The 10,758-nt window shown below is 44.2% G+C and overlaps 1 protein-coding gene across 7 annotated transcripts in view; it reads left to right on the forward strand.

The window, feature by feature from the left end:
* STAB2 (stabilin 2) overlaps positions 1-10,758 on the forward strand; it is a 179,447-nt gene that overhangs the window by 68,405 nt on the left and 100,284 nt on the right. For 6 of the 7 annotated variants that reach the window (XR_007063104.1, NM_017564.10, XM_011538537.3 and 3 more), the window contains exons 16-19: positions 4,654-4,707; positions 5,006-5,086; positions 7,169-7,321; positions 10,614-10,676. Coding sequence is in view for 6 of the 7 variants with exons in the window: in NM_017564.10 (NP_060034.9) it covers positions 4,654-4,707; positions 5,006-5,086; positions 7,169-7,321; positions 10,614-10,676 (351 nt within the window). In the remaining variant the exon portion in view is untranslated. Of the gene's footprint in view, positions 1-2,299; positions 2,931-4,653; positions 4,708-5,005; positions 5,087-7,168; positions 7,322-10,613; positions 10,677-10,758 lie in introns of those variants that run through there. The other variant, XM_011538539.3, reaches the window with a different exon arrangement.

Here is a 10,758-nt window from a genome sequence, read left to right on the forward strand (position 1 = left end):
TTGTACATGTATCACCACCTACCCTCCAACAACCAAGGCAGGCATCACTAATCAATCACAACATTCTGGAACTAAGCCTGGATGTGGCTTCAGTCTCTTCGATAGAATTTCAAGTTGCCATGATCAATTAGACTTGATACAGGAAATGAAATGTATTTGCAATCCCAGGCCTAAATGGTTGGTTTGATTTGTCTTGACTCTTCTAATATTTCTCACTAGTAAAATCAACACTTCAAGTTCCCTACAACTCTAAAATCACCTAGAGAATGAAGCCTAAACTAGGCCATTCAGGGCCAGGTCTAGGCTAAACTTTAAAAAGAATACGTGTTATTTTTAGATGCTTCAGCCTTTCCTTTCCTTTCTATTGCTTTCATCTTTCTCCACCATGGGCTTTCAGTTCTCTCACATTCTCCTCTAAAAGGGCAATTATTGACTTCTTCATATCGGGGTGTCAATGACTGAAACCATTTAAAGTGTTTCCTTTCCCAGAAATAATAGCCTTAACTTGAAGAGGACAGCCTATTGTGGAATTTTGTTCGTTAGAATGTCAAATAGTGGAATTACATGAAAGGTCACATGCTTTCTTTCAGTGCCCTGAAACTATGCCACCATCTTGGTAATGGGGAGAGATGACCTATGACTTCATAAAGATCAGTGTTGATTATATAGAATGTGGAGAGAAGGAGGAAAGGATGTCCCAGTCTTTTAGGGTAGTGATTCCCAAAGTGTAGTGTAGACAGAAACCATCCATGGAGCTTGCTAACTAGGCAGATTCCAAAGCCCTACCTCAAGCATTCTGGTTTAGTGGTGCTGGGATGAGGCCCAGAAATAGACACGCTGGTAACCACCAACTTTCTAATTCAGATAGCCCCAGCCCACACTGTTTTGGGAATGCTGAAAGTTGTTGCCTGTTAGGTTTAGGAATTCACATAGATATATATCCCTTTTTAGAATGCTTTCAGGTATCTATAAGGATATCTTGCTGTCAAAAAACTTAGGATTTTTTTTTTTTTTTTTTTTGAGACGGAGTCTCGCTCTGTCGCCCAGGCCGGACTGCGGACTGCAGTGGCGCAATCTCGGCTCACTGCAAGCTCCGCTTCCCGGGTTCACGCCATTCTCCTGCCTCAGCCTCCCGAGTAGCTGGGACTACAGGCGCCCGCCACCGAGCCCGGCTAATTTTTTGTATTTTTAGTAGAGACGGGGTTTCACCTTGTTAGCCAGGATGGTCTCGATCTCCTGACCTCATGATCCACCCGCCTCGGCCTCCCAAAGTGCTGGGATTACAGGCGTGAGCCACCGCGCCCGGCCAGGATTTTTTTAAAACTTAACAAGGAGATAAATCAAAAGTAATCTCTTACATTGCAAACAGATGTTCAACATATGAAAAGATTAGTTATAAGTTTCCATAGAAAAAGTCAGATTTCCCAGGGTCTTCCAAAATAGAATGATATTTCAAAATATGATTCACACCCAAATTTTATGAAACCTAGCTATTGCAGAAAACTGCTAGACCTCTCTTTAGAACTCACATTCATACTTAAAGTGAGCTAAAAAAAAAAAAAAAAAAAAGGTAATGTTGTTCCCCTAAGAAATTATTAAAATCCTGAGATTATGTGGCCTCCCTGAGTACATAGCTTCTAATTTGATGCACATTTTAATAATAATAATAATAAAGGAGTTCTATGACACACTTAAAATTAAAATAAAACCTTTTAACTAGAATAGGAAAAAATCAACCTCATTGCTTAGTTCTGTCAGCCACCTTTGTTCCAAACATTCTTCTCTTTCTCCTCCCTTGTAACTCCTTCCAGTGGTATCTGGAAATGACTCATTTAAGCTCTCCAGAGTAGATTGTGTACATCTCTTCTGAGCTCTGTTCAATGAGATGACATTTATAGCTTGAAATAAGCCTTTGGTAAGAATACTTACACCACAAAAATGGTTAATGCACGCCACTGCTCCTGGCTCTCAATCTTGTTTCTCTCCAAGACGTATCTTTCTGCCTGCAAAGAACATGAAACTTCAGGTCTCTTTGTTCTGAGTTAAAAACTGCTTTTCCATTTCAATTTCTAGGTGAGAAGTACAATCATTTCTGCTTCTTTCTCAGGTACAGAGGGGTTAATTTTTCTCAACCTATAGGAAGCTCCTTCTGTCTCCATCCATCTTAACGGCTTTATCTTCAAGGAAGAGTGCAGGAAATTCCCCATCGGCTATGCCAATGAAATGGAAAATAAACAGTCCTCTTTAGAAGAAGGGCTTCTAATTCTGACTTTGGAATGCCATGTCTTCTTCCCAGTGTATCTTTCTACTTCTCTCTGAGGCAAAATTTCAGTCTGGAAACCCTCCCATTCCTGCAGAGACCACAGCTTCTGATTACAAGCCCCAGTTCAAGGTTTCATCACTGAACCAGACAGAAATAAAAGCAAAGAGAGCAAGACACCTGCCCTTGCCAATTCACAGACACCCTGCAAGTAAAGTGGGGAAAGGGACGTGAATTTATACAGTTCAAGGTCAAATTATCTCTTTCTGCCTCTGGCACCAAAGAACTTGAGTTTGGTTTTGTTTGATTTTGTTTTTACCTGAAACAGCAGGAAGGAAGTGAGTGCCCTCATAAAAGAAAGAATGTGTCGCACCAAAAGGCTCTTCAACAACGACAGCTCCTGGAAACCTACCCTGTTCGAGCCACACTGGAGTGAATTCGAACTGGGCAATGGCTCCAATAGATCTCAGCCAGATAAGACACAGGCACACACAGTAACGGGAGTGATGCGGATCAATTTCTTTGTCCCTCTCATTCTTCTGCTTCTTGTCAAAAGGATACAATAATTAATTCCTGAGGCTTTGAAAGTGGATTATCTCATTGCTAAATGCTTTCCTATAGAAGCATCAGAAGACTGGAAGGAATCCATACCAGTCCCCTTATTTTGCAGGTGAAACTGAGACTCATGGGTTAAGTGACTTGCAGAAGGTTACACACAAGCAGAACCAGGACTAGATCTCATGTTCCTGAAGGCCAGCTCAGTGCTCCTCCCAGGACCCCTACCCATGCCCTTTAATTTACTGGCACAAATGTTTATGGAAAACTTATTTTATGCCCCACACTGCACTTGCTGGGGACATGGTGATGGGTGGTTAGCAAACCAGACAGACCCAGCCCCTGCCTTCCAGGAGTTTGCAGTCCAGTTTGGTGGACGCAGTCAAGTTTGGGGGATGTTTCCCAACAGTCCCCACTTTGTCTGACTCCTTCAACCACTGGAGCATCAGAGCATGTAATAACATTGCTTCTGCCTGTAAGTCTCCATTTCTGAATACCATGCAGTAACTGAGACGTAAGTTGAAGATGTAAGTTGAGATGTAAAGGCTAGGTGACTTGCTCAAGGTCACATAGTAACAGAACCAGGGCTGCAGAAAGCATCACTTCCAGGGCTGGCTAACTGGTGGTCAATTTCAACATTTTTATTGACAACCCTGCCCTGCACATAATGCTATTGGCTAATAGATATGGTGGCCACATAACTTATCATCCATGCCAGGTCACTTCTGAAAGTGAATGGAGGTGCCAGGACAATAGGCATAGACCAGGATTGTACCAGACAAGCCAGGATAGGTGGTCCTGCTACTAACAGGTAACTCCCTTGGCACAGTGACCAAGGCCAAATGCAGAGAGGAGGCTGGGTGAGGAAACTCAGGTTCAGCAGGGCTTTCTCTTAGCCTGGGACTTCACGCTGTTGCAACCTGTTCTTAGAACATTCAACCTCTTGGCAGTTATTAGGATCTTGATTTGTGATCCTTCACTTTTCCAAGCCAGAGTGACTGTGGCTGTGCTACTTAAATAGCAGAACTTGAGGGCTGTGAAGCTTGTAACTCCCATCTCTGACTTAGCTGGCAGATTGCAGATAAATTACAGCAGACCACTGTGGTCACTGCCTTCTTCTCACAAAGAGTGTGGTCCCTGTGTTCCTCAACTCTGCAGCCTCTCTCCAGGGCACCCTATAGGGGCTGCTCATCCTGTCTATGGTCTCCTTTGTGGGGCTAGGACCCTCTTTTCTCCACTGCTGCTTCAGTTTTATGAAGCTTGAGAAACCTTGGAAAGGGCTTTGAAGGAGAGGGACAAACTTCTCATGGAAGGAAGAGGTGATCGCTATCCCTATGACTCTATAATCCTAAATGACCTGTATGTGGTCTGACAAACAGACGTTTATTTATGGAGCAAATGGAACAGAATAATAAATCAAGACTGTCTTAGAAAATCCAGAATATAGCCTTAGACATTCTGAGAAGTGATGGAGCAGAGTAACTGAGAGCCTGGGCTAATTCTTAGGCTCATATCCTGAGTTAGTTTTTTGACCTTGGACATGTCTTTGAATGTCGGTATTACCACACATAAAATGGGTCAATAGGAGTCCCCACCTCACACGGCTGTTGGGAGGATTAAATGAGACGTGCATATTATGCTTTCAAAACAGCCTCTTCCACAGAGTGGGAATTTGGTGAACGTTAGCTATTTGGAGGTGGGGTTTCTCTCACCCTGGATTTCCCAATAGATTATGGGTCATTTTTCTTGATTGTCTAACGTCATTTGAAGAGGATTCCACAAGAGTGGAAGTGTTGCATTTTCTTCTTTGACTAAAGAAGTATTTGGTTCCTTTGCAGGGATCTCGGAAGCTTCTGGAACTCGTCAGATACCACATTGTCCCATTTACCCAGGTTGGCCCCACTTTTCCTGCTGCTACTTTCTCTCTGCTTCCAAGATAGCTAACTTAGTCTTGAATTCCAATATTTTGACGCTAGAAAATGTCCTTTATCTGTAGCTCTGAATAAACCCTCAGCCATGAACAATGAGTCCATTATCAGAGCGATCTTCAAAGCCACAAAAACTCTTGAGATCAAAACTCCCTTTACTTATTTCACTTTGAAACCTATTTTTTCTAGTGAGGACTTTAAGAACTCAGGGCCCTGCGTGTGGTCCCAAATATCTCTGCCTTTTGTTCTCTTCTTATTGCAGCTTGAAGTGGCCACTCTCATCTCCACCCCTCACATCAGGAGCATGGCCAACCAGCTCATACAGTTCAACACCACCGACAATGTAAGTGAAAACTCAACCACCACCAGCATCACTTGAACACATCTTTGCTCGATAATGATTATTCATCAGGTTATCCTGCCTCTATGCTAACTCATGGGCTTAAAATCTTTATGATTATTTCATTCATTTGCTCACTTCTCTCAGCAGATATGTGCTGAGCAACTACATGCGTGAGAGTCTGCACTAGATGCCGAGAATAAAGGAGTGAAAAAGATAGACTTCTATCCCAGCAGGGAAGACAGACTTTAAATAACTCACTGGGCAATGAGTTAATTATTTAATTACAATGGTAATGAGTGTCCCCAAGAGGAAATTCAGGGGGCTGTGAGAGCACAGAACAGGAGGAGTCTGAGAGCATCTTCAGGCCAGGAGGTCCTCATTGAGGAGGTGATGCTTTGGCCATGCTATGAATAAAGTGAAATTGGACAGGGATCAGTAGAAAAGAGTTCCAGACAAAAAAAAAAAAAAAAAAAAGAGAGAGAGCATGTGCAAAGACCCTGAGGTCAGGGGAACACAATTCATTTTTAAAACTCCAAAGAAGGCTGCATTATTCATCTAACTCCCTGGGGTTGCAATATGAACAAACATCCAGCAGCACAGGGTTGATATAGAATCACTGTTGATGGTGATGATTATCTCATTCTTTCAACAAATATCTATTGAGTTCCTACTGTGCATCAGGCACTGTTGTAGGTCCTGAAGACAGACCAATGAACAAACAGACAAAAGTCCCTGGTTGTATGGAAATTTCATTCTAGTAAATAGGGGATAGAAAATAAGTTAAATGCATAAAATATATCATCTATTAGACAGCAGCAAGTGCTAAGGAGAAAAACAGCAAAGCAAGGAAGGGGGACAGAAGGTGGGGATGGAGCTGACATCTTAGATAAATACTCAAGAAGCCCTCATGGGGAAGAAACATCTGAACAAAACCTGAACCTGAAGGAATTAGGGGAACAAACAGTGTGAATATCCGGGGGACATTCCAGAGGGAACAGCAAGGGTGAAAAGCACAGAGCAGAAAGGAGCATGCTGGGCTGTGTGAGGAACAGCAAGGCCAGTGTGGCTAGAGCAGAGAGAGCAAAAGGGAGAAGAGTAGGAAAGGAGGCTGGGCAAGAGAGAGAGGAGGAGAGTGGGGGTCAGGTCATGCATGGCCTAAGAAGTCAGGGTAAGGATGCAGGCTCTTACTTGGAATGAGAGGAGAAGCAGTTGGAGGATTTTGAACTGAGGAATGACATGATCGGGCATACATTTTGAGAGGCTGGTGAGGAGATTTGATTGCAATAATCTGGAGAATACTGATGGTAACTCAGACCAGGGTGGTAGCAGGGACATGGTGAGGAATGGCTGAATTTTGAATGTATCTGGTTGGTGCAAAAGTAACTGCAGTCTTGCAATTTTTAAAAAATTGCAAAAACTGTGATTATTTTTGCACCAACCTAATATTCTGAAAGTAGATACAGCAGAATTTGCTGATGAGTTAAATGGGGGTGAAGACAGAGGAAGCCAGGATAACTCATGGAGCTTGACTTGAGCAACCAGAAGAATGAAGCTGTCATTAATACTGCAGGGGGTGGGTGGCAGGTTTATGAGGAAAGTGGAGATCAGAAATCTTTGCTAATTGGTTCATTTTCTGCTCCCTCCACTAAAACATAAGCAAGAACTCATCTATTTGTTCACAGATGTATACCCAGCTCCAAAGGCAGAGCATAAGTGAGGTCAATAAATGTATTCAAATGAATGGATCCCTATTTCACCAGAGAGAGGTCAAAGAATTTGCGCAAGGTCTCACAGCAAGTATATTGCAGAGCTTGAATAATTATAATTTGTACTTAGCCCTGCACCTGCAAGAACCATTTCTACAAGGGCATCCTTGCCTGGTGTTAGTCAAGAATTCACTGAACAGATTCAATCTTTCCCTGTCAGCCAAACCCTTATAATAGCAACCTACCCTCCAATGAAAAGTTAAGTGATGTTGAGGACTTTTTAGCAAAGTTGCCACCATTCAGTCTGCCTGAGGATCACTGGCAGTCCTGCAGTACAGAATAGTACAGAATTAGAGATGTCATTTTTTCTTTCCAGGGACAGATTCTGGCAAATGATGTGGCAATGGAAGAAATTGAGATCACTGCCAAAAATGGCCGAATTTACACACTGACAGGAGTTCTCATTCCTCCCTCCATTGTCCCGATTCTGCCCCATCGATGTGATGAAACAAAGAGAGAGATGAAACTGGTAAGAAAACTAGGAAAATAAGTAAGGGCCCCAAACAGCCCCTCAGAGCAGAGAGCATCCCACTCCTCACAATTCTGAGAAAGGTGTCAAAGAAAGTTGGACTTCCAGAACCTTGTCCCCAAAGGGCTTCCGTCTTCATGAAGATGCAGGTGGATCTGAAGTCCCACCTCATAAACTGTGAACCACAGTTCCTTGGGGAATTTCCGCAATGATAGATGCTGCCCAGGAATATTGGCTCCTCAGAGCTGCCATGATGAATTACCACAAACTGGGAGGCTTGCCACAACAGTAATTTATTCTCTCACAATTCTGGAGGTCAGAAGTCTGAAATCAAGATAGCAGAGCCATGCTCCCTCTGAAGGCTCTAGGGAAGAATGTTTCTTTCCTTGCCTCCTTCTGGATTCTGGGGGCTCCAACAATTCTTGGCATTCCGTGGCTTGTAGCTGCAGGGGTCTCACTGTGTTGCCCAGTCTGGAAATGACAGGTGCACACCACCACACCTGGCTAATTTTTTTTTCTAGTTTTTTATTGTAGAGATGGGGTTTCACCATCTTGCCCAAGCTGGTCTCAAACTCCTGGACTTAAGCGATCCTCTCATCTCGGCCTCCCAAAGTGCTGGGATTACAGGCCTGAGCCACTGTGTCCTACCCACCTCTCCTCTTTTTATAAGGACATCGATCATTATATTTAAGGCCCACACTAATTCAGCAGGGCCTCATGTTAGCTTAACGAATTACATCTGCAAAGACCTTATTTCCCAACAAGATCACATTCTGAGGTTCCAGGGGACACAAGTTTTTGGAAAGATATTATTTACCCACTATACCAGAGCTCTGGGATCCAATCAGGGTTTTCCAACCCAACCCCTGGGATTTAGGATCAGTCTCCTGCCTCTTCCTTCCCCTGTCCCTGTCATCTGGGACCACTTGCTCCAGGCTCACAGCTTTACTGTAAGAGGGACTTAAAATAGAATTTCTTCTCAGGTAGCTGCTCTAGCCTAGCCAATCAACCGTCTTTCTGCAGTACTTTTCAAAAAACCAAACTTTCTGTTTCCCTATGAGCTTCTGTACCCTCTAGCCTTTCCTATTTCCATAGCAACTTTTTGGCTCAGCCAGTTTTGTTTTGTTTTGTTTTTGTTTGTTTGTTTTGTTTTATTTTGTTTTGAGACAGAGTCTCGCTCTGTTGCCCAGGCTGGAGTGCAGTGGCAGGATCTCTGCTCACTGCAAGCTCTGCCTCCCGGGTTCATGCCATTCTCCTGCCTCAGCCTCCCGAGTAGCTGGGACTACAGGTGCCCTCCACCACGCCCGGCTAATTTTTTTGTATTTTTAGTAGAGACGGGGTTTCACTGTGTTCACCAGGATGGTCTCAATCTCCTGACCTCGTGATCTGCCCGCCTCGGCCTCCCAAAGTGGTGGGATTACAGGCGTGAGCCACCGCCCCTGGCCAGTTCAGCCGGTTTTAATCAAAGCACCTGAAATTCCAATACTGCTGTACATGCACTATTTCGGTTCCCATGGAAAACATAACCCCAAGTTTTAACAATAATAGGTCTGGGTCTTTCTTTTCAGGATGCTTCAATAATACATTAGTGATTGCTCTGACAATATCCTTGGAACATGAGCATTAAACAAGGAAAAATGGTCTCATTTTATTTATTGTTTTGTTTTACTGATTCCTCTTCTTGTTATGAAGGCTGGAAATAGCTGGCCAAGCACCTGGCACAGGATTGTGGCTGATTCTTTTAATTCTAGATATTTTAATTGATGTAATGACTCTGATATGATTTAGGCCACAGAGGACGGAGCTGATCCTCTGTGCCAGTCAGATGCCATCTGGAGAATTTGATTCCATGCTGAGAACCCCTTTTTTAAGAGAGGCAGAAACATGGTCACTTTCCTAGCCAGTCCCCAGCAGTGATTTATGTTTGGTTCATTCTGTAGAAACAAGGATTGGGCAGGTGCATCACCTGTTCGATTTCAGATTATTCAAAAGCTTATTCTCCACCTCCCTAAAGAACAGAATCAAGATGTGGGTTTGAGCTACAACCCAAAGAATTTTGGTTACATAAGGAAAAGAACTTCCTAATAGCTGCCTTAGAATGAACTCTTCCTTTACTAGTTTCTCTAGGTTTAAAGTCAAATCTATTTGCTCTACATGGTTTAGAATGGTTTTTGAGTGGGTTCATCAAAAGTCCAAATGCATTCTCTGGAAAGTATTTAGGACTAGCAAAGAGTAGAAGCAGCTGGTACCCTCTGGAAGTCTCAGTGTTTACCAGGCTGAATCTATAGCTGCCTTTGGCCATGTATGTTTGGATTTTAGAGGTTTAATAACAACACTGTACTAGTTATGGTCTCTGCAAGAAACAGAATCCATCTGAGATGATCCAAACGAAGAGATTCTGATGAAGGAGCTACTGCAGAGGTGTGGACAGGGCTAAGGAAACGAATAAGTTTTGCTGGAGCTTTGAGGGAGAAGCAGGAAACCACTGCAACTAGGGACCAAAGAGCCCAGGGACAGGACATAGAGTTACCTGAACCCAGTGAGAGCAGGAAGCGTGGAAGAGGTGACCTCCTTCAGGAGCCGTAGGGATGGTACCAAAGCAGAGAGGGAGCAGGGATGAAATCCTTGACCTTGTTGTCCTCCTACCCACCAAAATCCTGCTAGTGACTGGACGTTGGCCAACACCAATCAGAAGCTGGCAAGGGAGCTTGAGAACATCCTTCACGGTCTACCTTCTGGGGCACAGAGCCAGATGGAGAAGGTCAGAGAGGATCTGGAGAAATTGGAGGCACACTCCCAATTCCATCACCCTGAACCAGTAGAGGAGAATCCAGGAGACTGAAAGGCAGAGATTCAGTGTTCGGCTATATTGCTGCTAAGCTAATTGGAGGACATGGCCTTAAGTCTGTAACCAAAGCTAATACTTCATCCCTAGCACAGGTCAATAACTGCAATGTCCCCTCAGGGGCAGGTGCCTCCCTGCATGCAGAGAATTGATCAGAAGCTGGGAGCCCGTGGACAGGCTGGCTCTGAAAGAAGTAAAAAAGGGGGCTGCTCTGAGCAGGCTCAGTTTTCTCTCCTAAACTCCTCCCACCAGCCCCCACCCCCAGCGCTGACTTCACTCCTTCTCCCACGGTGGAGTCGGTGTGGGGAGGGGGTGGGTAGAGAGGCCAGGATCATGGCTCAGTGGGGTTTCCTTCACAGGGAGGGAAGCATGAAACCAGCCACAGGACCATCGCCACTGCTCCCTCTCATAGGGACACCTGCACTGACCTCCTGTCTCTCCCTCCAGGGCACTTGTGTGAGCTGTTCTCTGGTGTACTGGAGCAGATGTCCTGCTAACTCTGAGCCCACAGTGAGTGTGACAGCTTCATGAAAGCACAGATCACCCAAGCAGCCCCACTGGTGTGGTTTCTCAACCTATCTACCTTCCTTCT

This window comes from Homo sapiens, chromosome 12 (assembly GCF_000001405.40).
Source record: "Homo sapiens chromosome 12, GRCh38.p14 Primary Assembly".
NCBI classification, from domain to species: domain Eukaryota; kingdom Metazoa; phylum Chordata; class Mammalia; order Primates; family Hominidae; genus Homo; species Homo sapiens.